This window comes from Homo sapiens, chromosome 12 (assembly GCF_000001405.40).
Source record: "Homo sapiens chromosome 12, GRCh38.p14 Primary Assembly".
In the NCBI taxonomy this organism is placed as follows: Eukaryota; Metazoa; Chordata; class Mammalia; order Primates; family Hominidae; genus Homo; species Homo sapiens.
Genome location: NC_000012.12, coordinates 132,700,536 through 132,728,031, shown reverse-complemented (window position 1 = coordinate 132,728,031; position 27,496 = coordinate 132,700,536). Strand labels below are relative to the sequence as shown.

The window sequence follows — 27,496 nt, the reverse complement described above, 5'->3', positions numbered from 1 at the left end:
GTATGTGGGGCCCGGACAGCCTGTCACCCGCAGGGCAGCTTTTGGAAACTTCTGCAGGGTCCAGTTCCACTTCATGCGAACCTATCAGTGGCTTTTCCCAACGCTGGCAGGCCCGTCAGCCAGGCTGTGGATTTGGGTGTTGTGGCTCTCTGCACACAGGACAGAGCTCTGGTTGGGTGGAAAAGCTGAACGGGTCAGCTCCTGACAAGCTGAGGGCTAGAAGGGTGGAAGCAGCAGGGTTTCTACTCAGATCACACAGGATTCTCCGGGAAACCCCCATGAGCTTGACTCTCCCAGTGCCCGCGGTGCCAGGGTTCAGCAGTGCCTCTCCTCCACCCAGACGCATGTGCCCACGGTGCCAGGGTTCAGCAGTGTGTCTCCTCCGCCCGGGCGCGTGTGCCCGCGGTGCCAGGGTTCAGCAGTGCGTCTCTTCCACCCGGGCGTGTGTGCCCGCGGTGCCAGGGTTCACCAGTGCCTCTCCTCCGCCCGGGCGCATGTGCCTGAGTCTGGGGCCATTATTCTCCGACTTTTGCTGTTCATCTCCGGGCCTGTGCCCGTCTGCTAACAGTTCTTTCTTGCTTTCCGCAGTTGGCCCAGTCCCGCGGTGAAAGGAAGGTTCAAGTCTCAGCTGCCAGATCTCAGTGGCCCTCACAGCTACAGTCCGGGGAGAAACAGCGTGGCTGGAAGCAACCCCGCAAAGCCAGGCCTGGGCAGTCCTGGGCGCTACAGCCCCGTGCACGGGAGCCAGCTCCGCAGGATGGCGCGCCTGGCTGAGCTTGCCGCCCTGTAGGCTTGGCGCTGGGCTCTCGGTTTGTTCTTCATTTTTAAAGAAGGAAGGGTCATATGTTTATTGCTAAACTGTCAAAAAGGAATATATTCTGATTAAATTATTACTCCTCACTTTGAGGGTGTGAGAATTTTAGAAGATTTAAATGTTCTATATAACACTTAGATTTCTGATATTTTGGAAGAAGTTAGAAGTTAATGAAAGCAAACTCAGTTACCAATTTTCTGGAAAATATCCATGTGGTAATGGTAGACTTTTTAGGTGGCAATTTCTAGGTCTGAAATATAGCAGAGGAAAGGGCGCTGAGGCAGTTGCAGGCAGGCAGCCCTGTACTTACCCTGTACTCACCTCATCCGACAGACGCTGTGGATGAGGAGGGGCTTGGCGGAGGCGTGAGCACCGATGTCCCTTTGATAACCTGCACTCACCAAGATGAACTATTTGCCGCCCTGTCTTTTCCTGGGTTGGGGGGTGGCATCTGATGGTGGCAGAGTGCCTGTTGGTTCGCCCGTGGGTCTCATGGTTCAGACAGAGGGAGGTGGACGGCAGGGATCAGGGAGCCAGGAGCGCGCCTCAGACTTGCAGCAACCATTGTGATTTGGGTTGTTCGGAATATTTAAATTACTGATCAGAAGATGAAAGTAGCTTTTCTCTTGGGAAGTCTTGCAGCCCGTGGGAGTGATACCAGGAGCAACACAGAGCTCAGCAGCGGCGCCAAGGTGTTCCCTGTTTCCTCAGCACGTGAGCCTTCACCGCCTGCTTCATTCAGGAGCCAGTGCAGCAGTAATACAGTCTATACATTGTTCTGTTTTCAAATTTATCCTGAGGCTTTGTTGAGCATAAATGATTATACGATAAAGGTATCCGTTATTTTGGAACTCATTTCAGTTGGGATCTCCTGTATGCAGAGTGTTGCATTTAGAGGTTTGAGTCCCATCTTGGTTTCTTGCCGTGCTGACTGTAGCCTTCACCTTGACTTGAATGAAGGTCTGTGGTTGGAATGTGTGAGGAGCCGCTGAGGTGTTCAGGAGGTGCTGCCTGGAGGTCGGTTTCTTCCTGGGTGTTACGGGCAACTGCTCACACAGTTGTTTCTCTGTGAACATTTCCAGTGTTTAATCCAAAATGAAAACCCACCAATGCTTTTGCTAACTTCAGTGCCTTTTATAAATCATTTTTAAATTTCCTGAACTTGCTTTTTGAGGATATACAGGGATATTAAGTAGACGCAGGATTGTTTTTGTTTGTAAAAATTCTGAATTGAAACTTTGTTTTAAAAAAAGGCTTCTTTCTTTCATATGACAAGAGATAGGTCAGGAATATTGGAATCAAGATTTAAATGTTAAAATTCGATTTTGTTACACAGGGTGTGTTCATTTGTTTTGTAGCAGACAAGATCTAGATCCCAGACAGAAACAACACATGCTATTCTAAAAAGCCGCATTTTAAAAGGCACCTTGGTTCTCAAAAGAAATCAGAATATGGATATTCGTAGTGATGATCTGTTTTCTCTAAAATCTTACCATATTGTCTGTATATGGTTGTAAATTCAAATGGAAAGTAAAACGTTTTGGCCCTGATTTTGTATGTGGACCACTGCTCCTGATTTCCCAGGTCTTAGGCCACCTTTGACTGTTTCTCCGTTTGTTTGTGGGCAGCGATTCCAGTCCCAACGGAGGCATTCTCGTGTGTCCCGGGGGGTTATGTCCTTCACAAAACACTTAATGAAATGAATTACTTCAAAACCGCGTGGTAATAATTGCAAGCTTTCGGAAGGATCCCTCACTTGTGCCCAGGCGCACGGCACTGTTTTGGTTGGACGGCCATCAACCTGGGTGCCCTCAGATTCGCTCGCTGTTTTTAAGCCCCTTTCTTGACTCAGTTGTGAAAGATTTTCTGGCATCCGTTAAAAGAGCACAGATTTTACCGTTGCTCTTGGCAGTGGGAAACCTTGGTGACATTAACAGTTGCTGTGGTGGCTTTGGTTGGAAAGTGCCCTTCTCCAGCGTGGTGGCAGCTGTGAGGGAGGCGCCCGGTGAGTCTGCTGCTCGTTTCTGGGTAAAAGCAGCCATGGTGCTGCGTACCAGCCGTGGGAGTGCCAGCGGCGCCATGGCAGGGACCACAGCCAGGTCCTCCAGAGCCGTGTGGATGTTTCCAGAAGCCTGCAGAGTTTTCCCAGGGAAGGGCTGATGGAAACCCTCATTGGGGCCCGGCTGTGCGTGCGGGGTGCAGGCGTGTTTGTCGTGGTTGGAAACCCTGTGACTGCTCCAGCTGCAGATTCCCGCCCGTGCTCCCTCCTTAGAAAAGGCTTTGGGATAAACGTCGGCATGGCGACCCCTGGCAGCTGGCCGCCATCTGGTGGCATTGCCTTTCCCACCAGTCTCATTGAGGCTTCTGGTGTGCAGTTTTCACTTTGGCCAGACAGAGGCTATCGTTACTAACATGTGAGAAGTCTTCAGTCTGTCCCAAACCAGGGGACGGTTTCCATCGTTGACGTCGCTGGGCCCCTGTAACTCACCCAGTCCAGACACCCTCAGCCTTCCCCTCATGCGGCTCCCTCCACGCAGGCGTTCACAACATGCACACTGAAGATCCCTGGGGGCTGCCCTGGTATGGGTCAGCTCCCCACTCCCCAGTCTCCTGCCTGCCCCTCCCTGCCTTCTCCCCCGCCATACCTGCCCTGAGTCCAGCATTCAGAAATTAGACCCCCACCAGCTACCAGCCAAACCGGGAGCCATCCTCACTTTGCTAATCTACGTCCGTCCCACATGCAGAAGACTGGAAAAGGCCATTTAAGGAAGAACCACTTTGAACAGCAGGTATTTTAGAAGGGAAGTCTACCAGGCACAGTGGCTCATGTGCTTTGGGATGCCGAGGTGGGCGGATCACTTGAGGCCAGGAGCTCGAGACCAGTCTAGCCAGCATAGTGAAACCCATCTCTACCACAAATGCAAAAATGAGCCAGGTGCAGTGACGCACACCTGTAGAACGAGCCACTTGGGAGGCTGAGACATGAGAATCGCTTGAGCCTGGAAAGCGGAGGTTGTAGTGAGCCGAGACTGTGGCACCGCACTCCAACCCAGGTGACAGAGCCAGAGTATGTCTCAAAAAAAAAGTTTGCTGGGAATTTACTCTAGAAAAAGAAACTAAAAATTATTTAAAGTTTCATATTCAAGAAACTTAGGTAATCATCTATGGGCATACTACCCCGAGCACACCCAGTCTCTCTGATCTTGGCAGATAAGCAGGGCCTGGTTAGGACTTGGAGTGGAGGCTGCCTGGGAATACCAAGGGCTGTAGACTTGGTTATCATTGCTGTACGCTCTTAAAGAATTAGTCACACACTGAGTTTGTGGCTTAACTTTTCAAAATCCTTGACTTCAGATTTGACTTAAGCAGCATAATCAGGTTTTCTTTCCTTTTGGGTTTTGTTTGTTTTTTTGCAGAAGGATTTGAAGACTCTGGGTCACTGGTTTCTTGTGATCCATTGAAAACTGCTCGTGGTCTCCCATCCACTTCCCCCTTTAGACCAGGTAGTCTGTCCAGATCTTCACATGAGTGCGACTCACGTCTATGACGTGAGCGATGGGAGTGGCCGTGGGCTGCGCAGGGCATTGGGGCCAGCTGATGTGTGGTCATTCCACTTTGTGATGAGCTTTGCTGCCCAGCAAACCTGCGCCTGCTCTGAGCATTGCCTCAGTGCCAGGCGTGCTGGCGCTGCTCCCACCTCCAAGCTTTCCCACTTTACAGAGGAGCCGGGGCCCTAAGCAGAACAAAGGCTTAGCCCTGCAGCGCTGCCCCATCCCTGGAGGCCCAGCGTTGGGGCTGTGGCGTGGGCGCCCTGTGTAGCTGACTTAGAGCATCCCGGACTGCTTCCTCGCCAGCCTTGCTCCCGTCTGAGGTCAAACGTGAGCGTGCCTGGTATTTGTTTTTGAAGTTGGCGCGTCCCTGGCTTATCAAACTATTTCTAGACAGTGGTGTATGGTTGCTGTGGCTGTTGTCTCCACAACCATTGGTCAGCCTTGCCGTCCTGGTCAGGGATTTGGAAAGGGCCCAGGCCACTGGCGGAAGTCCTCTGAGCAGGCAGCCGGTGCGATGCGGGCAGAGGCGTCAGCCACGGGGAGACAGGACACTGTGCAAAGGGTTCTGGTGACACCATCGTTTCTCACACTGCACAAGTTTCCTTTTTTTTTTTTCTTATTAGATGGTGTCTTGCTCTGTGGCCCAGGCTGGAGTGCAGTGGAGCGATCTCGGCTCACTGCAAGCTCCGCCTTCCGGGTTCAAGCGATTCTCCTGCCTCAGCCTCCTGAGTAGCTGGGATTACAGGCGCCTGCCACACCTGGCTAATTTTTGTATTTTTAGTAGAGACGAGGTTTCAGCATGTTGGTCAGGCTGGTCTTGAACTCCCGACCTCATGATCCACCTGCCTGGGCCTCCTGAAGTGCTGGGATTACAGGCGTGGCCACCGCGCCCGGCCGAAGTTCCACGCTTTTAACACACTCACAACTAGTCCTTTTAAAAAAACAGTAAAATTTTATTTATTATGCAATCATTTCCAAAGTAGACAGAGAAATAGATCAGATATCCCAACTGTATTGACTACAGAAAATAGTCACAACCACTTCATAGAAATTGTACTGTTTTTCCTAAATTAACAGCATATCTGGGTACACACAACATGTTTGAATATTTTAATCCCTGGCCAGGCATGCTAGCTCACGCCTGTAATCCCAGCACTTGGGGAGGCCGAGGTGGGTAGATCACGAGGTCAGGAGTTCGAGACCAGCCTGGCCAACACGGTGAAACCCCATCTCTACTAAAAATAAAAAATTAGCCAGGCATGGTGGTGGGCGCCTATAATCCCAGCTACTTGGGAGGCTGAGGCAGGAGAATCGTTTGAACCCAGGAGGCAGAGGTTGCAGTGAGCCGAGATCGCGCCACTGCACTCCAGCCTGGGTGACAGAGCGAGACTCCGTCTCCAAAAAAAAAAAAACAAAAAAAAAACCACACATTTAATCCCTAAGCATAAAAGATTAACTGGAGGCAAACTAAGATTGAGCTGTCAATCTGAAGTATTTTACTCAATAAGGGTAACCCCCTATTGGGCTGTCACTAGCGTGTCACCTCAGCCGAGACCAGCATGAAGGTCAAAGGCGAAGCCACCTCTGTAGACCCACCTCACCTGCCCCTCCCCCATCCAGTCACCTGTGCAGCTGGCTAGTCCCTCGGCCCCTAAAGACCTAATCAAGTTGGTGAGTTCAGACCCAACATCATCAGGAAATCTGTAAATTTGGAGAAACTTGTTTTCAAAGCAAAAACCCAGATGAAGAAAAAAAAATTTTTTAGGCCAGGCACGATGGCTCACACCTTTAATCCCAGCACTTTGGGAGGCCAAGGTGGGTGAATCACCTGAGGTTGGGAGTTCGAGACCAGCCTGAACAATTCTATATTGGTTTCTCCATGAAACCCTGTCTTTACTAAAAATACAAAAAATTAGCCAGGTATGGTGGTGGGCGACTGTAATCCCAGCTACTCGGGAGCTGAGGCAGGAGAATCACTTGAACCCAGGAGGCAGAGGTTGCGGTGAGCCGAGATCGCACCACTGCACTCCAGCCTGGGCAACAAGAGTGAAACTCCGTTTCAAAAGAAAAAATTGCTTTAAGTCTCCCTCGCTTGCCCAGGCTGGAGTGCAGTGACACAATCACAGCTCACTGCAGCCTCCAGCTCCCGGGCCCAAGTGATCCACCCACCTCAGCCTCCCAAGTAGCTGGGACTCTAGATGCCCACGACACACCCAGCTAAGTTCTGTATTTTTAGTAGAGACAGGGTCTCGCTATGTTGCCTTGTCCAGGCTGGTCTTGAACTCCTGAGCTCAAGTGATCCTCCCACCCTGGCCTCCTGAGTAGCTGGGAATACAGGTGTGAGCCACTGTGCCCAGCCAGAAAATCTTTAATTGACAAATATTTAAGGGACAAGAGGGTTTTAAGAAATTAAAAGGATGTATGAAGTGAAGTGAGTTGTGAACAGAACCTGGGTGCCCTCCTCATCCACGTGCCTCAGTCGCCCTCGTGCCTGACCGGCTTTGCCAATGGAGCCTGGACCCTCAGCACGGGTCAGCTGTGGGTGCGAACATGGTGGTCTGGGTCAGGCCTCTTTCAAGTCCCCACAACAGGCCTGACTTGTGCGTGAGACGCTTTCACCTTAAACCCCACGCCATCCTGGGGGTTCATGGTCAGGTATAAAACCCTGCAGAGAAGTCAGGCTGTCTGATCCCAACTCTCCCCTTCTCAGCCTGGTCACAAGTCAGTTCCCAGATGCAGCATTGCAGGTTTCTACTTTCCGCCGGTCTCCTTGGGAACAAAACGTTAAGTGTGTGCGGCCTGTGCAGGGAGGACAGAGGGAAGGAGAGGCCGGAGCCCTCAGGATCGAGTGATCTTGTCGGGAGGCATGAACCCCGTGTCCCCGAGGGTCCTGAGCGCAACTCGGCCGTTGGGTCGGATCACCAGGTGGGTGATGCTGCCATTATTGAGGGAGAGCCGGAGCCAGCCTTCAGGAGGAAACTGCAGTGCTCTGGGGAGAGAGAGAGAGAGAGAAAGAGCACGTTAGAGCCAGGGGGCTCTGTCCTTAAAACGGGCTGAGCTAGGCCGGGCATGGTGGCTCACACCTGTAATCCCAGCACTTTGGGAGGCCAGGCGGGTGGATCACAAGGTCAGGAGATCGAGACCATCCCAGCTAACACGGTGAAACCCCATCTCTACTAAAAATACAAAAAATTAGCTGGGCGTGATAGCAGGCACCTGTAGTCCCAGCTACTTGGGAGGCTGAGGCAGAAGAATGGCGTGAACCCGGGAGGCGGAGCTTGCAGTGAGCTGAGATCGCGCCACTGCACTCCAGCCTGGGTGACAGAGCGAGATTCTGTCTAAAAAAAAAAAAACGGGCTGGGCTAGAGCCAGGGGACTCTGTCCTTAAAAGAGGCTGGGCCAGGCTGTGCCAGGGGGCTCTGTTCTACAAACAGAGGCTGAGCCCCTCAGAAGTCTCAGAGCAGCCTCAGGGCCGGGGTACACATCAGCCGAGCCGCTCCTGTCTTCAGTCGGGGCTTCTCGGGGAAGATCTGGCTGGGATCGACGTGAATCGATGACTGGGATCGACATGAATGGAGCCATCACACTTGGGGACCTGCCCTCTTTAGGACAGGGGCCCAACCCCAACTCAAGATTTGCACAGATCAGAACAACGCTGACTTCTTACGAGGAAACACAGTTTAATTTCTGCTTTTCCCATATAAAAGCAGGGAGCAGCCAGTTAGTGCAACAGGTCCCTTTCTGGGAAAGCAAAGAACGGAGATGGGATCTACCCGCCGTGGCATCTTCATGCACTTCTTAGGCACAATTCGCATTTGCGGAAAAGCTCGGAGTTGCCTTCATCGCCTCTGAGCCACCCACCGCCCTGTCTCAGTGGGCCGCATGGCCACCCTCACGCTGCTTCCCGAGCCTCCTCAGGGCTGCCTGGCGGCACCGGCCGGAACAGCACAGCCATATTCTCGTGTCCAGGTGCACGTGCCTGGCCCTCACCACTGTGTGGACTCAGGTCGGCTCCACTCTCCCGCCCCGGTTATTTCTGTGCATTTTTAGCATTTGTGTCACCTCGGGGTGACTGTGTCATGGACACACAAGGTGGTGGTGGCAGCATAGAAGCCACCCATATGGCTCATTCACAAGCACAGACAGGAGGCAACGAACGACTCACAGCAAACAGGTACTCACTTAGCCTGAGGCCACACCACCCGGAGGCTCCAACCCCCAGAAAAGCTCTATCTGGTCTGGAGCCAAGCTTGAGAATCTCGGCCCGTACATCCTCGACTTTCTGGGAGCTGCTGCTCTTGACCATGGTGCTCCCAGCAGCCCCAGCCCTGGTGACAGGCCCAGGTGACAGACGGGCAGAGACCAGGGCCCAGCCTCACACGGCATCACTGACCAGTGCCGTCCTGTCCTCCCACCACAGGACTCGTCACACTCAAGAGGGCCCCCTCAGCTGCGGAGCCCACACACACATTTCCTAATGGATCCAGAGAAGAGGCAAATTTGTTTCAAATTTGCATTTAGTGAGATTTGGCCAACCCTTCTGACTGTTTCAGGCATGTAACCGTAGAGCTGGCCCTGCCCCCCAAGGGGCCCTCTAACGTGGCTGCAGCCCTGGAGCTCCTTAAAGAAGTGGCTGATTGCAGGGTGGTGGCAGGGAAAACGCAACCTGAACCCGGATCATTCTGTGGTGCTGAGAGTGGGGCACCAGAGCAGGTTGAGGGACAAGGGCCCCCCGAGGGAGCAGCCCGAGCAGCAACGTGACTCAGCTGTGGCCTCGACCCAGAGGGGAGCGGACACCCCGAGCCGTCACGCTGGCACACGGGTGGGAGCGCCCACAGATCAGCAAGTGAAAGAGGTCAGGACCCCAGAAGCACAAAATCCCCAGCGGACAACAGCGGCGGGATGCTGCCAGTGGGATCCAGCCGGAGGCAGAAGGTGGTTGGTCGAGTTTGAGGGGAAACAGGACGTTCAATTACAAAGGGAAAACAACCAGGGCAGTGCGGACGCCCAGCATGCACCGTACCCAGGACCCCCCACCCAGCACGCACCCCACCCAGGACACCCCCACCCAGCACGCACCCCACCCAGGACCCCCCACCCAGCACGCACCCCACCCAGGACACCCCCACCCAGCACGCACCCCACCCAGGACACCCCCACCCAGCACGCACCCCACCCAGGACACCCCCACCCAGCACGCACCCCACCCAGGACCCCCCACCCAGCACACACCCCACCCAGGACACCCCCACCCAGCACGCACCCCACTCAGGACCCCCCACCCAGCACGCACCCCACCCAGGACACCACAGGGGTCCCTCCCTGTCTGCACCACCCTTGCCCAAAACAGCCTTATGAGAAGCTCCAAGTAACACGCCACCTACCGCGTAACTGACTAGGACTCGCGGGAAGTGGACGCCCGGGGGCTGGTGAGGCCTGACTAGGGTGGCATCGGCAGTGGAGGAGGGTCTCGCTCGGCTTCTTCCTCATGCTTTTCTCTAAGTCTGAAATTATTTTAGACCACGCCCAGCCCAGCAGCTGCCTACCTGCACACGATGTAGCGGATGACGTTGGCGTGACAGATGAAGATCTCGTAACTGTCCTCCTCCTGCCTGGCATCTGCGCGGTGGATGTAGTTCCGGAAGGCGGCCTCGATCCGGGCTCCGTCTTCGTAATACTGCTGGGGGCAGAGTGAGGAGCCGTCAGTGCGGAAGTGCTCGGGCAGGGCGGGTGTCAGGAGGACAGACCCCATCGCCGCCCGGGGAAGCCCGTGGGACGGCCGGGCACGTGGTGGATGGTGAGCCCAGCAGGGCCGCTTTGCCCAGGGAAGGCGAGGGTGACACAGCTGCCCCCCGGGGAGGTTTTTACCACAGCTTCCGGCTTCCAATGAGACACGGGCGGGTCTGGCTCGATGGGGGCGCCTTCCCGCAGCAGATCTGTGCTGACTTTGCAGACGCCTGCAGAGAAGCACAGCGAAGCGCTGGGTGAGGCGGCCCCGCCGGCGGAGATGCTGTGACCTCCCGGTGGCCAGGAGCTCAGGCCGGGGCCCTGCCACGAGCCGCCCACTGCTGCAAGCATGGAGGCCCCGCGCGCAGCACTCACCTGGCAGGTGCCGGCTGATGATATCGGTGGTCTCTATGGCGCGCGTCATAGACGAATGGACGATTTTATTAAACTTCAACCCCAAGCTTGCCAGGCGGAGCCCAGTGAGTTCAGCCTGCTCCCGACCTGGAAGGTGAAAGGCACCTGAGTGCCGCACCTGCACCCCCTCCTCCACCCTCAAACACCCCCTCCTCCGCCCGCAAACACGCCCTCCTCCACCCTCAAACACCCCCTCCTCCGCCCGCAAACACCCCCTCCTCCGCCCGCAAACACGACCCCTGATCAGGCAGCAAGCTCAGCAAGCTCAGCCGATGGCTCCTGCCCGCCCGAGGCTTGGGCCAGAGGGGCCGGCACTCAACTGTCTTCACCCCCATACAGGAAAAAACATGCATCTGATTCCACCAATGGAGCAGCAAGCAAACCGGATGGTGGCTGGCGCTTGGTGGGGCCCAGGGGTGGTTTCTGGGTCCCCCCTTGTCACCCTCACTCAACTGTGTCCAAAACCTGAGCCTCACAGGCCCCCAACCACGCGCCATGGCGGAGGCCAACACAGCGGGACCTAAACACCCCAAGCTGCTATGTGGGGGCCGGACACCAGTGCAGATGCCTTTTCTCTTGTGAGCTTTTGCATCCAGGTGAAAACGCCTCAGGAAGGCCGAAGCCACTGGATGCAGCCACACCTGCATCTGTCACTCCACTTTCTTTGTGCACAAGCAGCCAGGACAGCTCTGGGGACTGGGGGGCGGCGTCTGTGGAGGACAGCCCTGCACATTTTTACTATCTGAACTTTTAGTATGTGCATGAACAGGCACTATCCCATTCGAAGAACTTTTCAAAATGTAAACTCTACCTTAGCCCACCCTGCATTTCCTTCTCTAGGCAGGCATTTCTTCTACAGATCCACCTGCACAGGGACACAAGGACAAGGTGGAAGGACCCTCCTGGACGCTGTCTATGCAGCATCTGCCAGTGGGGACAGGCGGGATCCTGTTGCTCAGTCCCGCCTGTTCAACAGGGCATTAAGAGGCAGAGGCCAGGCCGGGCGCGGTGGCTCACACCTGTCACCCTAGCACTTTGGGAGGCCAAGGCGGGCGGATTACGAGGTCAGGAGTTTGAGACCAGCCTGGCCAATATGGTGAAACCCCATCTCTACTAAAAATACAAAAAAAAAAAAAAATTAGGCTGGGTGTGGTGGCTCACGCCTGTAATCCCAGTACTTTGGGAGGCCGAGGCGGGTGGATCACAAGGTCAGGAGATAGAGACCATCCTGGCTAACACGGTGAAACCCCGTCTCTACTAAAAATACAAAAAAATAGCTGGGAGTGGCAGCGTGTGCCTGTAGTCCCAGCTACTTGGGAGCCTGAGGCAGGAGAATTGCTTGAACCCAGGAGGCAAAGGTTGCAGCGGGCCAAGATCACGTCACTGCACTCCAGCCTGGGTAACAGAGCAGGACTATGTCTCAAAACAAACAAACAAGCAGACGCCAGGCATCAGGCCTGTGAGTGCCACAGGCCGCAGAGAAGCGTCTTTGGCAGCAGGTCCAGGTGAGCAGCCGAGGGCACAAGCCACGCCGCTTTCCAAGGCATCAAGCAGGTATAAAATCACTGCTGGGATATGCACTGCATTTGGTCTCATGCAAACAAGATCTGTCCAACATTTGCTAAAAGTTAAGGGCTTTTTTTTTTTGAGACGGAGTCTCACTCTGTTACCTAGGCTAGAGTGCAGTGGTGCAATCTTGGCTCACTGCAACCTCCACCTCCCAGGGTCAAGCAATTCTCCTGTCTCAGCCTCCTTAGTAGCTGGGATTACAGGTGCCTGCCACTGCACCCGGCTAATTTTTGTACTTTTAGTAGTGACGAGGTTTCGCCCTGTTGGCCAGGCTGGTCTCGAACTCCTGACCTCAGGTGATCCACCTGCCTCGGCCTCCCAAAGTGTTGGGATTACAGGCGTGAGCCACCGTGCCTGGCCAAGGTAAGGACATTTTTTTTTTTTTTGAGACGGAGTCTCGCTCTGTCGCCCAGGCTGGAGTGCAGTGGTGCGATCTCAGCTCACTGCAAGCTCCGCCTCCAGGGTTCACACCATTCTCCTGCCTCAGCTTCCCGAGTAGCTGGGACTACAGGCGCCCACCACTGCACCTGGCTAATTTTTGTACTTTTAGTAGAGACAGGGTTTTGCCGGGTTGGCCAGGCTGGTCTCGAATTCCTGACCTCAGGTAATCCACCTGCCTCGGCCTCCCAAAGTGCTGGGATTACAGGCGTGAGCCACCGCGCCCGGCCAAGGTAAGGACATTTTGAAAAGCTTGTCTTCTGTCCAAGTTCAGCTGACAGTTACTGGTAATAATGTGTGATTCAGGGGTGATGGTCTCGGACATGGGCCCCAGGAGGCCCAGTGCCCCAAGCACTTTCAAGAAAGCTGACCAAGGGGGTCGGCGGAGGACCTGCACCCAGTCACATAACCAAGGCGCCAGCAGATATGCACCTGGCCACATAACCACGAGGGTCCACAGAGGATCTGAACCCACCACATACCCAGCGGGGTCAGAGTGCGGTCCTTCTCCAGGGAGCCATCCACGTGGTACTGGGAATGCCTGATGAGGAAGATGTGCCGCGTGGCCTTGGCTTTGTAGTGGTCCAGCTTGGACGCCAGCTCTTCTTCCCCAGATTCCACGTTCCTCTTCCGCACGTTGATCAGAGACAGTGGTTCTCGCCTGATGTTGAAATACAAGATATGTCCTTGAGACCTCTGTTCCCAAGTTTGAGTTTTTCTGACAAGATGTTATTTCCAAATTGTCAGACTATTTGGGAAGAGCATGGAGAGAAGACAAGGCCCTTGGCACAGCCCTGGGGAGGCCTCTCTGAGCATACCGCCACTCTCCCTCCCACAAAGCTAGTGCCAGGTCTGTTCTGAGTGATGCGCTGGAGAGCAAAACAGACAAGCAAAGCCCTGTGCATCTTCTTCTCTAATGAGAGGCAGACAGTGAACAGCAGGAGACAGACTACCCCAAACGCAACTGTGGTTACGGAGAACGCCAGGCTAGGAAAGAGGACAGCGGCTATCGGGGCGCAGGCGGAAAGTGTCCACGGGGCCAAGATGGGCCTCCCTGACCATGATGCTTCAGCAGAGCCTAGAACTGCAATGCCCAACAGCAGCCACTAGCTATGAGGATGTTTCAATTCAAAATTTAAGCAAAATTAAATAAAATTAAAACATCATGTCCTCAGTCATACTAAGCACATTTTAGACCCTCAGGCCGGGTGCAGTGGCTCACACGTGTAATCCCAGCATTTGGGAGGCTGAGGTGGCCAGATCAACTGAGGTCAAGAGTTCGACACTAGCCTGGCCAACATGGTGAAATTGCACCTCTACTCAAAATACAAAAATTAGCCGGGCTTGGTGGCACACGCCTGTGATCCCAGCTACTTGGGAGGCTGAGGCAGGAGAATCGCTTGAACCTGGGAGGCGGAGGTTGCAGAGAGCCGAGATCGTGCCACTGCACTCCAGTCTGGGCGACAGAGTGAGACTCCGCCTCAGAAAATAAATAAATAAACAAACACTCAGTGAGGAAGAAAACATTCCCATTATGAAGGTCTGTTCCAGAGCTGCTGGAATCTGAAAAAGAGTGGATCCCAGCACTTTGGGAGGCCGAGGTGGGCAGATCACTGGAGCCCAGGAGTCCAAGACTAGCCTGGGCAACACAGGGGGACCCCGTCTCTACAAAAACATTAAAAAATTAGCCGGGCAAGGTGGTCCACAGCTGTAGTCCCGGCTACTCAGGAGGCTGAGGTGGGAGAATTGCTTGAGCCTAGGAGGGAGCCATGATCTTGCCACTGCACTGCACTGCACTCCAGCCTGGGCAACAGAGCGAGACCCTGTCTCAACAGCAACAAAAAAAGTTCAACGCGGCAGAGCTGGGAATAGCAAAAGTCGAACCTGCTGGTATTTACTCGCTGAGACAGTGGCGGAAAAGGAAGCTGTGGAAGGGCACGGTGGTGACTCAAGGGCTCCGTTTGGGCCACGCCGACCTGGGGGCCTGTCATAAACCAGGCCAAGACTCAAATTGGCAGGTATGGGGGAGTCAGGCTGAGCCAGAGAAAATATTTGGGAGCTATAGGCACAGAGACAGGAAGCCGTAAACTGCATGAGACCTCCAGGAAGAAGCTGGAGATTTCACCAGATGAGGCTCTGGAACTTTCAAGTGTGGACAGGTGAGACTCAAGAAGAAACATGCTGTCTTCTAGCACCTTCCTGTAGTTGCTCATGCCTTCTGTCTGTATAAGTCTTTCCCAACCCACAAGGCCCAATTCACTTCTCCCCAGACATGACAAGCAAATACAGAACACCTGCTTAAAAGAGAAAGGCTGGGCTCAGCTCCCGGTTCTACTTCAAGTTCTTTTTTTTCTTTTTTGAGACAGAGTTTCACTCTATCACCCAGGCTGGAGTGCAGTGGCACGATCTGGGCTCACTGCAGCCTCCACCTCCTGGGCTCAAGTGATTGTCCTGCCTCAGCCTCCCAAGTAGCTAGGACTACAGGTGCATGCCACCATGCCTGGCTAATTTTTTTGTATTTTTAGTAAATACAGAGTGTCACCGTGTTGGTCAGGCTGGTCTCGAACTCCTGACCTCAAGTGATCCGCCCACCTCAGCCTCTCAAAATGCTGGGATTACAGGTGTGAGCCACCGCACCCAGCCTACTTCAAGTTCTTTAACGGCAGAGTAAATCTGTTTCCTTAAAAAGACCTAAGAAATTCAGAATATTGATTCAGAATTTCTGATTTTTCAGAATTCTGATTTTTAAAAAAGAATATAACAGGCTGGGCATGGTGGCTCATGCCTGTAATCCCAGCACTTTGGGAGGCCGAGGTGGGAGGATCACCTAAGGTTGGGAGTTCAAGACCAGCCTGACCGACATGGAGAAACCCCGTCTCTACTAAAAATACAAAATTAGCTGGGCATAATGGCGCGTGCCTGTAATCCCAGCTACTCGGGAGGCTGAGGCAGGAGAATTGCTTGAACCCGGGAGGCGGAGGTTGCAGTGAGCCGAGATTGCACCATTGCACTCCAGCCTGGGCAACAAGAGCGAAACTCCGTCTCAAGGAAAAAGAAAAAAGAAAAGAAGGAAAAAGAATGTAACTCCAGTCTAATCATGAGAAAACCTTCAGAGAAGTCTCAATTGAGGGACCTTCTACCAAACCCCTGACCAGGACGCCTCAAACACTCATGATCATCAAAACAAGTCTGAGAAATTGTCACAGCCAAAACATGCCTACGGAGGCATGAAGACTACTTGTCATGTGGGACCCTAGAACAGAACAGCAGGTAAAAGCTGAGGAAATCTCAATGAAACATGAACCTTAGTTAACAGTAATGTATTATAAACTAATATAATAACTATAATTAATCTATATTATTTTGGCTCATTAATTTTGATATATACACCATGCTTAGTGTATGATGCTAATAATAGAGGAAATAAGGTTAACAAAAGATAAAAATCTAATATAAAGTACCTAACGCAACCACAGTAGTATAATTCTGTGCCCCCTTTCTCAAAGTACTGAGTATAATGAGGAGTTAGGACTGGGAAAACCATCCTTGCCGCTAGAGCAGTCCTGGCCGACAGAAACAGAATGCCAGCAACATGTGAAATTATACATTTTCTAATAGCAACATTAAAAAGAAACAGGTGAATTTCGATCATACTTTTAATTCAATATGCTAAAAATACTATTTCAACACATAACTAATGTTAAAAACCTGCACTACTTTTTTTTTTTTTCCTTTGAGACAGGCTCTGTTGCTCAGGCTGGAGTGAAGTGGCGGGATCTCGGCTCACACTGTGCAGCCTGGGACCCCTGGACTCAAGGGATCCTCCTACCTCAGCCTCCCGAGTAGCTGGGACCACAGGCGCGCGCCACCTCGCTCGGCCAATTTTTTTTGTATTTTTTGTAGAGATGGGGGTCTCACTATGTTGCCCAGGCTGGTTTCAAATTTCTCAAGCGATCCTCCGGCCTCAGCCTCCCAAACGCTGGGATTACAGGCCTGAGCTACCGCACCCGGCCCTGCTTGCGTTAAGTTTAAATTGACGTAAACTAAGCATTCCCTTCAGGAATCACACGAGCCATATTTCAAACGCTCAATAACCGCACGCAGCTCGCGGGCGCGCTCCTGCAAACGCCCCTGAAGGAGGCCCGGCTTCCACCTCAGCCTCGCCCCGGCCCGCGCTCCGGCGATGGCACCCAGGGCGGACTCGCAGGGGCGGGGAGAAGGGCGAGGACGCGACGGAGCTCGGCCACAGAAGCCGGCGGGAAGGGTCAGCCGCCCCCGGAACCCTCCGCGCAGAGCGGCCCCGGAAAGCGGCTCCTCCGCTGGGGAAAGCAGACGGCGACCCCAGATCCCGACCCGATCGCAACCTTAAACCTGGTCCCGATCTCGATCCCAACGGTAACACCTGCCCTGACCCCCATCCCGACCCCGGCCCCAAACAGCCCCGCGCGCACCTGTCCCAGTTGGGGTCCCAGACACCGGGGCCCGGCCGCGCGCCCCCCGCCCAGGCCGGCGGCTCAGCCGGGCGTGGCTCCGCGTCCCCGCCTGCGCGCGGCTTCCCTACCGCCACGGCCGAGAAGAGCACGGCGGCCGAGCCCCCGGCCAGCCCGCAGGCCGCCAGCTGCAGCGCCTGCCGGAACGCCATGCCGCTTGCTCCCGCGCCGGCCCGCGCAGGCGCCCACGGCCCCGACGGCGCTCCGCGAGGAACACGCTTCCCCCGGCTGCCGCTTCCGGGCGGCGGGGGCGGAAGTCCCGCCTCCTGGGGCGCGGCAGGACGCGGGGCAGCCTTGCGCGAAGGGGCGTTTTCGTGGAGCCACCTGCCGCGCCACGCTCCAGTCCCGTCACTTGTGCTCGCGAGCGCCGGTGCGCGCAGGTGCGGGCGGGGTTGTGGGGACGCCGGGAGGGCGGCGCGGTACTTTCCAGAAGGTTCCGCACCGGAAGCGCCTGCCGAGGCCGGAGGCTGGGTGCAGGGGCGGAGACGCGGAGAACTTGGGATCCTGGTTTAAGGGAGCTGGGAAGCTGCCGCAGGTTTGTTTAAACGATATTTTTTTGGTGGCGGAACACGAAGTAAAGTTTTCCGTCGGCGCAGTTCCTGCGTGTGCTGTTCAAGCGGCCTGAAGTGCGTTCAGGTTCGGCCGGGCTGTCCCTCCTCCTGGTCCCGACCCCTCAAACCCCGGGCCGAACACCGCCCTCTCCTGCGGGACAGTCTTTCTATGGCCGGCGCGTTTCGCCTAGCAGGGTCCTCAGAGGGACCGCGTTAGAGCCTGGGTTTCCTTCCAGGGGGACCAGCGCTCCCTGGGTGGACCGACCCCACCGCTTACCCATTGCTGGACGCCTGCGTGCACCGACCCCACCGCTTACCCATTGCTGGACGCTTGCCCTGTTGCCATCTCCTCGCTAGCGTGAACAGTGCTGCGTGCAGATCTCTCTTTCATTGATTGTTTTGCGTCTGTACCCAGAAGTGGGATTGCTGGACCATCTCTGCCCATTTTAAAATTGGGAAATGACATGATCTGATTTAAGCTATTTAAAAATCACTTGGGCCTGGGCTCGGTGGCTCACGCGTGTAATCACAACACTTTGGGAAGCCGAGACAGGCGGATCACCTGAGGTCAGAAGTTTGAGACCAGCCTGGCCAACATGGTGAAACCCGGTCTCTACTAAAAATACAAAAATTAGCCGGGCACGGTGGCTCCAGCCTGTAATACCAGCTACTCAGGAGGCTGAGGCAGGAGAGTTGCTTGAACCCAGGAAGCGGAGGTTGCAGTGAGCTGAGATTGCCTCACTGCACTCCAGCCTGGGCAACAGAGTGAAACAATGTCTCAAAAAAATAAAAATAAAAAAACTGAATGGTTCCACAGAAATACTGAGACTTCTGCTTAAACAGGCTTTCTTGAACCTGTACGCTTCCAGTTGGGTCTGCTGCTTCCAGGTCATTTACTAAAAATGATAGGAAGATTTAAAAAATAAAAATAAAAGGAAGGCCGGGCGTGGTGGCTCACGCCTGTAATCCCAGCACTTTGGGAGGCCTAGGTGAGCGGATCACGAGGTCAGGAGCTCGAGACCATCCTGGCTAACACGGTGAAAACCCGTCTCTACTAATAATACAAAAAAAAAAAAAAAAAATAGGGCATGGTGGCGGGTGCTTGTAGTCCCAGCTACTAGGGAGGCTGAGGCAGGAGAATGCCGTGAACCCGGGAGGCGGAGCTTGCAGTGAGCCGAGATCGCGCCACTGCACTCCAGACTGGGCGACAGAGCGAGACTCTGTCTCAAAAAAATAAAGGAAAATTGGGCCGGGCGCAGTGCCTCACGCCTGTAATCCCAGCACTTTGGGAGGCTGAGGTGGGCGGATCACGAGGTTAGGAGATCAAGACCAGCCTGACCAACATGGTGAAACCCCGTCTTTACTGAAATACAAAAAAGCCTGGCGTGGTGGTGCGCGCCTGTAGTCCCTGCTACTCGAGAGCCTAAGGCCGGATAATCGCTTGAACCTGGGAGGCAGAGGTTGCAGTGAGCCAGGATGGTGCCACTGCACTCCAGCCTGGGTGACAGAGACTCTGTCTCAAAAAAAAGAAAATCAGCCAGGCTCAGTGGCTCATGCCTGTAATCCCAGCACTTTGGGAGGCCGAGGCGGGCAGATCACCTGAGATCAGGAGTTTGAGACCAGCCTGGCCAACATGGTGAAACCCCATCTCTACTAAAAATACAAAAATTAGCTGGTACATACCTGTAATCCCAGCTACCCAGGAGGCTGAGGCAGGAGAATCGCTGGAATCCAGGAGGCAGAAGCTGCAGTGAGCTGAGATCACACTACTGCACTCCAGCCTGGGTGACAGAGCAAGACTCCATCTCAAAAAATAAAATAAAAAACAAGGGAAAATCCACAAGGACATAGTTGAATCCATAAGAAGAAATGACAGCAGATAAATCAGTTAACAAAAGTTCAAGAGCTGGAGATCAGATCTTTATCGACCTGAGAATATGGAACACCAGTGCCTATGTGGAAGGAAACCAGGAAGCAAGTTCATTTAATCCAGTGAGTCTGGAAGAGTCTGGGAGTTGGCAGCATTAGCCTCCTGTCTGAGAGCTGTGGGGCTGAAAGCAGGAGCATTTAGAGGAAAAGGTTGCCTTCCACATTTCGTTTCTCCCCCACATGTTCAGGGGAATAGCTCACTTTCATCACCGTGGAGCACTAGAGAAAGGCCATTCCAGGGGACTTGAACAGGAGGGTTCTGGATTTCAGGACACCAAGCATAGCTCAGATTGGGGATGCAGTAATAAAGATGGGATTATACAGAGTTCACATAAGGAAGAGTAGGACCTCTAACCCCTTTCCTCCAGATAGCCACAAGAATGTTGGCCACTAGGCTCATTCCCTGCTCAGCTACCACCACCATCCTTCCCCCAATGCCCTGACAAGAACTAAAGGATTCCTCTGTGTGGAAACTGACCAGCCCAGGAGAAAATATTTTTTTTTAATGTATTTTTTACGCCGGGCGCAGTGGCTCATGCTCGATAATCCCAGCACTTTGAGAGGCCGAGACAGGCGGATGGATCACTTGAGGTCAGGAGTTCGAGACCAGCCTGGCCAACATGGTGAAACCCCATCTCTACTAAAAATACAAAAAATTAGCAGGGCATAGTGGCACGCGCTGGTAATCCCAGCTACTCAGGAGGCTGAGCCAGGAGAATCACTTGGAAACGGGAGGCTGCAGTGAGCTGAGATCATGCCACCGCACTCCAGCCTGGGCAACAGAGTGAGACTCTGTCTCAAAAAAAAAAAAAAAAAAAAAGCCTGTTTTCTGATGACTGTTAAGTGTGTGAAACTAAAAACTCCTGGTCTCTGCTCTCCCCTGTGTGCCTGACAGCACTCCGTAAAGGTGTGTTCAGCGAACTGACCGGATGCGGGCTGTGGTAAGCCATATACATGATGTGAAATCTTCTCCAGCAAATTCTCTTGACCTTGCCGTGACACTCTGATGCCCTATGATGAGGTGGTGAAGATGGTGGCTCAAGACCTGGCTGACTGCCTCTGAATCAGGACTGTCTCTTGCTAGCTGAGGCATCTTGCATCCCCCACATGTGGAGTAGAGAAAACAATGGCACCTCCCTCAGGGCTGCTGCAGCTCTCAGAAGAGTTCCGGCACAAAGCAGCCCTAAGCGGTGTCAGTACTGTCATCTCTGGATTCTAATCTAGAATCTGTTCTGAGATCCAGGTTCTTAATCCTCCATCATGGCAGGGGGTGGGACTCACTGGGAAGTGGCAAGTTAGAGGGATAGTCAGAATTGTCACCTTCTGCATCAATTGCAGGAGCATCTGTTACTTTTGCAAATGCCCTAAACTTCCTTTGGGAACGACCCCACCTTAAATATTCTGAACTGAAAGAGCAGTTCTTTGAAAACCCAAGGCAAGCAGGACTTGAGCAGGCATTAGTGCCGCTGTCTTCACCGCCACATCCTTCACGGCATCCAGGAGCTGGAAACAGTCTAGCCACTGACGGACAGACGGACAGGCAAAATGCAGTCCACGCACACGGCAATGTTCAGCCTTTTAAGTTTTTAATTTTTATTTTATTATTTCTTAGTAGAGAGGGGGTTTCATCATGTTGGCCAGGCTGGTTTCAAACTCCTGACCTCAAGTAATCCGCCTGCCTCGGCCTCAAAAAGTGCTAGGATTACAGGCGTGAGCCGCTGCACCCAGCCCTATTTTTATTTTTTATTTTATTTATTTATTTTTTTGAGACAGAGTCTCACTCTGTTGCCCAGGCTGGGGTGCAGTGGCACGATCTTGGCTCACTGCAACCTCTGCCTTCCCAGTTCAAGTGATTTTCCTGCCTCAGCCTCCCAAGTAGCTGGGATTACAGGCATGCATCACCACACCCAGCTAATTTTTTTTTTTTTTTTTAAGACGGAGTCTTTCTCTGTCGCCAGGCTGGAATGCAGTGGAGCGATCTTGGCTCACTGCAACCTCTGCCTCCCAGGTTCAAGCGGTTCTCCTGCCTCAGCCTCCCGAGTAGCTGTGATTACAGGCACGTGCCACCACGCCCTGCTAATTTTTTTTTTTTTTTTTTTGAGACGGAGTCTCACTCTGTTGCCCAGCCTGGAGTGCAGTGGCACGATCTCGGCTCACTGCAAGCTCTGCCTCCCAGGTTCACGCCATTCTACCGCCTCAGCCTCCCAAGTAGCTGGGACTACAGGCGCCCGCCACCACGCCCGGCTAATTTTTTGTATTTTTTTTAGTAGAGACAGGGTTTCACCATGTTAGCCAGGATGGTCTCGATCTCCTGACCTCGTGATCCGCCCGCCTCGGCCTCCCAAAGTGCTGGGATTACAGGCATGAGCCACCGCGCCTTGCCCATGCCCTGCTAATTTTTATATTTTTAGTAGAGACAAGGTTTCACCAGGTTGGCCAGGATGGCCTCGATTTCTTGACCTCGTGATCCACCAGCCTTGGCCTCCCAAAGTGCTGGGATTACAGGCATGAGCCGCTCTGCCCAGCCGCTAATTTTTTATATTTTTGGTAGAGATAGGGTTTCACTATGTTGGCCAGGCTGGTCTTGAACTCCTGACCTCAAGTGATCCATCTGCCTCAAGTGATCCCAGCCTCCCAAAGTGCTGGGATTACAAGCGTGAGCCACCGAGCCTAGCCTATTTTTATTTTCTTTAAAGAATCTTAAGGACAATCAAAAGTCAGCCTTTATTAAAAGGAAAGAGGGCCGGGAATGTTGGCTCAAGCCTGTAATCCCAGCACCTCCGGAGGCCAAGGCAGGCAAATCATGAGGTCAGGTGTTCGAGACCAGCCTAGCCAACATGGCGAAACCCTTTCTCTACTAAAGATACAAAAAATTAGCCGGGCATGGTGGTGCACACCTGTAATCCCAGCTACTCGGGAGGCTGAGGCAGGAGAAATCTCTTGAACCCAGGAGGCAGAGGTTGCAGTGAGCTGAGATCACGCCATTGCACTCCAGCCTGGGCAACGGGGCAAGACTCTGTCTCAAAAAAAAAAAAAAAAAAAAAAAAGAGCCCAGTGCAGTTGCTCCCACCTGTAATCCCAGGAGTTCAAAGACCAGCCTGGGCAACACAGGAAGACCCCATCTCTACAAAAAAAAGAAAACAATTAGCCAGGTATGGCTGGGTGGGAACTTATAATCCTAGCTACTTGGGAGACTGTGGCAGGAAGATATCCCAGGAGTGTATGTGTGTGTGTGTGTGTGTGTGTATATATAGACACATATATACATATATATGTGTGTGTGTGTGTGTGTGTGTGTGTGTATATATATGTATTTCTTTTTTTTTCTTGTAGAAATGAGGTCTCGCTGTGTTGCCCAGGCTGGTCTCAAATTCCTGGCCTCAAGCAATCTTCCTGCCTCGGCCTCCCAAAGTACTGGGATGACAGGCATGAGCCACCACGACCAGATGCATGGTAAATTTTGTGTTTTATGTATCGTACCACACACACGAAAATTTAAAAAACATCTGGCTATGCATGTCTTTCAAAGCAACAGCAATTGTTCTGAGAGATTAAAGTCACCATTGAAGAACCTGCATTATCGTTTATTGTGATCCTAATTCGGTCCACAGTAACAATTGAAACTGCCTCGACTAAATTTTAAGTTTCTGGGGCAGCACCACCTGAAGGCAGCGACTGCCTTTTTAAAAGACAGGGTTCTGACATTCAGAGATTTCTGTTTCTCTATCCATCATTTTTGGGCATCTTGAATCACCTGATTTAGAGTCAGTGACATCCTGACTGGATTGGTTCTGCTCTCGCTGGGCGGGTGAGACCCCCAGACCCACGTCCACAGTGCACCTGATGTTCTCCCAGCGGTCGTCACTTCCCCAAGGAGGCCAGGTAGGCATACCAGAACAGAGCTGCCAGGTTGGCGAAGAGCACCCGGAACTGCCGAAAAGAACAGTCCAACAGGCCACGGTCAGCGGGAGGCCGTGGCCAGTTATCCAGCCTCAGTCACCCAGTTCATTTGTTTACCCGTTTGTTGGTCAGCTGGTCCAACCACCCATCCATTACTGCATTTACTGAGCCTTTGTTCGTACCAAACGCTGTGCTAGGCCCCTAGCAGAGAGGAGTGGAGAAGAAAAACGGTCCCCTAGTTACAGTGTTCACAGGCTACAGCGGCCCAGGAATCCCAAAGCCAAGTCACTCTCCTTTTGCCCCCTTCACCGCACACCTTAGCTCCTGGTTCAGCCTCTCTCACTCCAGGACCAGCCATCATGCAGGTGGCTGCACCCTCCTCAGGGGACACAGCTGACGAACAGCGGAGGGGCCCCAGACCTTCCCTCCTCTAACCCATCACCATCCCACTGCCCTGCTTTGGTGACTCAGCAGCTTCACCCTTCCCCAGAATCCTCTGGCCCAGTGCTGAGTCTCTCCCTGGCACGTGGTGCTATGAAAGTAGCAGCCCATGTGTCTGGTTAATCGCCGCGTCTCCGAGTCTAGCAGCATGGCGCACAGTCACTGCTCAGGAAACGCTTGCTGAATGAATGCTGCTTCCGCATACACCTGCACCCACCTAGGATGGCGACTCTGCCCCCACGCTACTCAGAGGCGCGGCTTCCCAGCTCTCCCCTCTTCCATCCCAGATCCTCCGTGTTCCCGGCCAGTCTGTCTTCTCAGTTGTCTCTGCTTCCTTCTCTAAATTCCCGAGAACCAGTGGCCCATGGCTGTAGCTTCCTTAGCCTACTGTTCTTCAGTCACACTCCCTGGAAAATCCTTTATCCTTCCTGCCTTCTCACTTCCCCAGATGCTGACCACAGCTGGACAAGCCCCAGCCCCCTCTGCCCAGAGGTCTTTGTCTCTGCAGTCAGCATGCTCTCCCATCCTCCACATGGCCAAACTTGCCCCTCCTGTATCCCCTTAAAATGCCCGCCTGACTTCCTCTGCCCTCAGTCCCAGCCCCTGGCCCTCCAGAGAGGCACGTGGGGGCTTGAGGCAGGATGTCCCACTCTCCTGTCCGCTCAGCTGTCACTTTCTCTCTCCTCTCTCATCACAGAGGGCAGGGCCTCTGTCCAAGCACCACTGTGAGTGTGCTGGGGGCTCACATCCACCCTGACTCCTTAGGGGACCCCGCAGAGCTGCTCTTTCTGGACATGCGTGTTTGCCCATCCCACAAGCAGCTTCACGTCTGCACCCACCATGGCCGCATCTCTGAGTGTCAGAACCCCCTCTGCCACCCAGCCTTCTTCCATCACTTCTCACCTTCTCTCAAACTTTTTAAAATTCATTTTTATAAAATAGAGATGGGGTCTCACTATGTTGCCCAGACTGGTCTCAAACTCCTGGCTTTGAGTGATCCTTCTGCCTCAGCCTCTCAAAGTTCTGGGATTACAGGCATGAGCCACCATGCCTGGCCCCCACAGACTTTGAGAGCATGTTCTAGACTTGTGATTTTTAAAATAATTCCCACCCACTCTTCAAGGCAATCTGGCTTCAGCCCCATAGAGCTGAAATTGCTCTGGGAAGGGCCACTGTTAAAGCCAAAGGAAATTTTTTTATTTTGCTTTAACTCCTGGCAACTTTGGCTAAGGGTGAACTGCCTCTTTGTCCTGTCTGTGTGCACCCCTGGTTTCCTGCTGCTTCTTGGTGTGTTTGTGGTGTGTGCAGTGTGCACACACTGGGCCGCCTCCCTCCTCTCCCTCGGGGGTCACCCTGGTCCTTTCCTCCCTCCTGGGCAGGGCTCAGAGCCGGTGCTAATGCAGGAAGGCCCTCTGCAGCTGAGGTCCAGCCACTGCAGGCCTGTTCAGGTCCTCCCTAGCAGCAGCCTGGGCTGGGACGGCACCCACCTTTCCCAGAAGGGCCACCTGCCCTGTGCCTGGACTGTTTGCACCAACAATGCAGGCTCCACACAGCTGCTGTCTTTCTAGGGGTCTGGAGCTTTGGGGCAGCAGGCAGAGATGCCCGCCCAGAGTACCAGTAAAAAACCCTGATGGGCGGCATACCTTCTGGGGGAGGGAAGCACGTGGCCCCTGCAGGCTCTGCCAGGCCTCCTCCTGTAGCATCTGGGGGTATCCTGCCATGCTGCAGGGGGTGCTGCACCCCATCCTCCCAGTGTGGGAGTGGTCCTGGGGACCCTGGCTGTGCATAAAGACAGTTGATCCCAGTGGCAGAGCCTGGAGCTCCAGCCTCCACACCACCAGCCCAGCCCCAATCTGACACCTTTGACTCAGCCCCCACAGCAGCTCCTTCATGCACAGGATAGCGGAAAGGCTCAGCTTACCCAGAAGGCCTTCACTCTGCACCTGGATGGGCCCACCCCTTGCCCAGGTGTGGCTGCCATGGCTGCAGGTGAGGCAGCTCTTCCAGGCCAGCGGCAGGACCCATGGCCGCACAGTGCCTGCCTTCAGGCTCAGCTGTAATTCATGAGCCCAGGGACCACGAATGCTTTGTTTCTTTTTAACATTTTATTTATTTTTTGAGACAGGGTCTTACTCTGTTGCCCAGGCTAGAGTGCAGTGGCACAATCTCAGCTCACTCCAACCTCCGTCTCCCGGATTCAAGTGATTCTTGTGCCTCAGCCACCTGAGTAGCTGGGACTACAGGCACCTGCCACCATGCCTGGCTAATTTTTGTATTTTTAGTAGAGATGGGGTTTCGCTATGTTGGCCAGGCTGGTCTCGAACTCCTGGCTTCAAGTGATTTGCCCACCTCAGCCTTCCATAGTGATGGGATTACAGGTGTGAGCTACTGTGACGGCCTTCTTTTTCTAAGTATAACTAGAGTTTATTTGGGCCAAGTTTGAGGACTGCAACCCAGGAGCATAGATTCAAGTTGCCTGCATGTACATTCCTGGGACTGGGAATGTTTCAAAGGCTAGAAAACTCATAGGCATCCCTGGCATGGGGGCTTTTAATGAGAATTTGCTGAACGAACAGAAGAGGCAAAGACGACCACTCGGGACACCCTTCTCTGTTGCTTCCTGAATCCCGAACTAGCAATGATTCAGGGTCATGGGCAAAATCCAAGGGTAGTTGAGGAGTCTAGACACGGATGAAACTAAGTCTAGCGGAAAACTACCAAAGAAAGAAGAGAAGAGAAAAGAAGAGGGGAGGGAGGGGGGGAGGAAAGAGGAAGGAAGGAAGGAAGGAAAAGGCTGACAAAGTAATGTTAGCAGAGGCTGAGCCCCGTGGCCCTCACCTTCAGAGGGACGTAGTTGATGTTGATGAACTGTAGTGGCGTCCACACCCGCCAGTTCATCCTCAGCGCCGGCCAGAAGCCCCCCCTCATCTTGGCGGCGAAGGCTGAGGCGTCTTTCCCCTGCAAAGGAGGGAAGGCGGGTGGTGAACAGTCTCACTGCCCATCAGAACTGAATTCCGGGCACCCAGACCCTATCGTGATGGTTTTTAAACTGCTATTGGATTTTGTTCTGTGTGTACGCAGACAGCACACATGTGTACTCAGCACTGCGGCTCTAAGGAGCCAACCAGCAAGATGGAAAATGATCAGTGAGATGCCAGACAGCAGCCTGCTCATGCTGGCAGTGATGTCTGTCCTGGCCCAAAACTCCTTGCGGACAACTGGAGGAGGTGACTCCCAAGGCTGGCCCTGGGCACCAGAACTGCTACTCAGAGCTACGCTGTCAATTCCTCCCAAATAACCTCCAAAGTCGATGTCTTTCCAATCAAAACTTGTTAGGAGTTATGAAAAAAAAAAAAAAAGGACTCCAGTAAGTTCATTCTAAATGTCAGCTGGTGGATTCAAGACCTGAACCCAAGACCTGACACCATAAAGATCCTAGGAGCAATTCCTCTGGACGTCCGCCAAGACAAAGAATTTGTGACTAAGTGCTCAAAAGCAAATACAGCAAAACCAAAAACAGACAAACAGGACTTCATTAAACAAAAAAGCTTCTGCACAGCAAAAGAAACAATCAACAGACAGTCTACAGCCTGGGAAAAAATATATGCATATTATGCATCCTACAAAGGACTGTTATCCAGAATCTGTGAGGAACTTACACAACTCAACAAG

The 27,496-nt window shown here is 53.3% G+C and overlaps 3 protein-coding genes, 1 long non-coding RNA gene and 1 pseudogene across 10 annotated transcripts in view, besides 5 other annotated features; 3 read left to right on the top strand and 2 right to left on the bottom strand.

Annotated features, from left to right (window-relative positions):
* The window catches only part of ANKLE2 (ankyrin repeat and LEM domain containing 2), a 36,330-nt gene extending 33,801 nt beyond the window's left edge, over positions 1 to 2,529 (top strand). For all 4 annotated transcript variants that reach the window (XM_006719735.2, NM_015114.3, XM_005266159.4 and 1 more), the window contains one exon: positions 589 to 2,529. In XM_006719735.2, coding sequence (XP_006719798.1) covers positions 589 to 608 — 20 coding nt within the window. In that variant the 3' untranslated portion in view covers positions 609 to 2,529. The remainder of the gene's footprint in view (positions 1 to 588) is intronic.
* On the top strand, positions 3,975 to 4,087 carry RNA5SP379 (RNA, 5S ribosomal pseudogene 379; annotated as a pseudogene).
* On the bottom strand, positions 5,298 to 17,190 carry PGAM5 (PGAM family member 5, mitochondrial serine/threonine protein phosphatase). Of its 3 annotated transcripts, none has more exons than NM_001170543.2 (6): positions 16,965 to 17,190; positions 12,996 to 13,174; positions 10,468 to 10,593; positions 10,234 to 10,322; positions 9,912 to 10,045; positions 5,298 to 7,354 (listed from the first exon to the last, which is right to left on the bottom strand). In NM_001170543.2, the coding sequence occupies exons 1-6, from the start codon at positions 17,153 to 17,155 to the stop codon at positions 7,204 to 7,206; spliced, it is 870 nt and encodes a 289-aa protein (NP_001164014.1). In that variant the 5' UTR covers positions 17,156 to 17,190; the 3' UTR covers positions 5,298 to 7,203. The 3 variants fall into 3 exon arrangements, with proteins under 3 accessions (NP_001164014.1, NP_001164015.1, NP_612642.2); NM_001170544.2 differs by having other exon boundaries at positions 9,912 to 10,042; NM_138575.4 differs by lacking the exon at positions 5,298 to 7,354 and adding an exon at positions 8,865 to 9,270.
* Positions 16,674 to 16,783: a silencer, noted in NCBI's record as "silent region_5125". NCBI's record gives its function as "represses an Ori minimal core promoter by ATAC-STARR-seq in GM12878 lymphoblastoid cells {active_cell/tissue: GM12878}" and the evidence as "EXISTENCE:reporter gene assay evidence [ECO:0000049][PMID:35858748]".
* Positions 16,994 to 17,453: a silencer, noted in NCBI's record as "silent region_5124". NCBI's record gives its function as "represses an Ori minimal core promoter by ATAC-STARR-seq in GM12878 lymphoblastoid cells {active_cell/tissue: GM12878}" and the evidence as "EXISTENCE:reporter gene assay evidence [ECO:0000049][PMID:35858748]".
* On the top strand, positions 17,437 to 23,054 carry LOC124903063 (uncharacterized). Of its 2 annotated transcripts, none has more exons than XR_007063551.1 (2): positions 17,437 to 17,538; positions 22,817 to 23,054. It is a non-coding gene; the product is annotated as an uncharacterized LOC124903063 (long non-coding RNA). The 2 variants fall into 2 exon arrangements; XR_007063550.1 differs by lacking the exon at positions 22,817 to 23,054 and adding an exon at positions 17,791 to 18,374.
* Positions 17,624 to 17,673: an enhancer, noted in NCBI's record as "active region_7386". NCBI's record gives its function as "activates an Ori minimal core promoter by ATAC-STARR-seq in GM12878 lymphoblastoid cells {active_cell/tissue: GM12878}" and the evidence as "EXISTENCE:reporter gene assay evidence [ECO:0000049][PMID:35858748]".
* Positions 20,522 to 20,722: a silencer, noted in NCBI's record as "peak2052 fragment used in MPRA reporter construct". NCBI's record gives its function as "represses an SCP1 promoter by STARR-seq MPRAs in K562 erythroleukemia cells {active_cell/tissue: K562}" and the evidence as "EXISTENCE:reporter gene assay evidence [ECO:0000049][PMID:32103011]".
* Positions 23,047 to 27,496, bottom strand: part of PXMP2 (peroxisomal membrane protein 2) — a 17,399-nt gene continuing 12,949 nt past the window's right edge. The window contains exons 4-5 of the mRNA NM_018663.3: positions 26,663 to 26,782; positions 23,047 to 23,413 (exon numbers count right to left, since the gene is read on the bottom strand). Of these exons, the coding sequence (NP_061133.1) occupies positions 23,345 to 23,413; positions 26,663 to 26,782 (189 nt within the window). The 3' untranslated portion in view covers positions 23,047 to 23,344. The remainder of the gene's footprint in view (positions 23,414 to 26,662; positions 26,783 to 27,496) is intronic.
* Positions 23,236 to 24,109: an enhancer, noted in NCBI's record as "H3K4me1 hESC enhancer chr12:133280509-133281382 (GRCh37/hg19 assembly coordinates)". NCBI's record gives its function as "activates a minimal SCP1, AML or CMV promoter by ChIP-STARR-seq in primed H9 embryonic stem cells {active_cell/tissue: H9 hESC(primed)}" and the evidence as "EXISTENCE:reporter gene assay evidence [ECO:0000049][PMID:30033119]".

What these genes read in the sequence shown, in the direction of transcription:
- PGAM5 (NM_001170543.2), bottom strand. Translation starts at nt 17,155, where the DNA reads ATGGCGTTCCGGCAGGCGCTGCAGCTGGCGGCCTGCGGGCTGGCCGGG. An exon ending in CATCAGCCGGCACCTGCCAG is followed by an intron (nt 10,323 to 10,467) that starts GTGAGTGCTGCG and finishes GCTTCTCTGCAG; the next exon opens with GCGTCTGCAAAGTCAGCACA. An exon ending in ATCCGCTACATCGTGTGCAG is followed by an intron (nt 7,355 to 9,911) that starts GTAGGCAGCTGC and finishes CTCTCTCCCCAG; the next exon opens with AGCACTGCAGTTTCCTCCTG.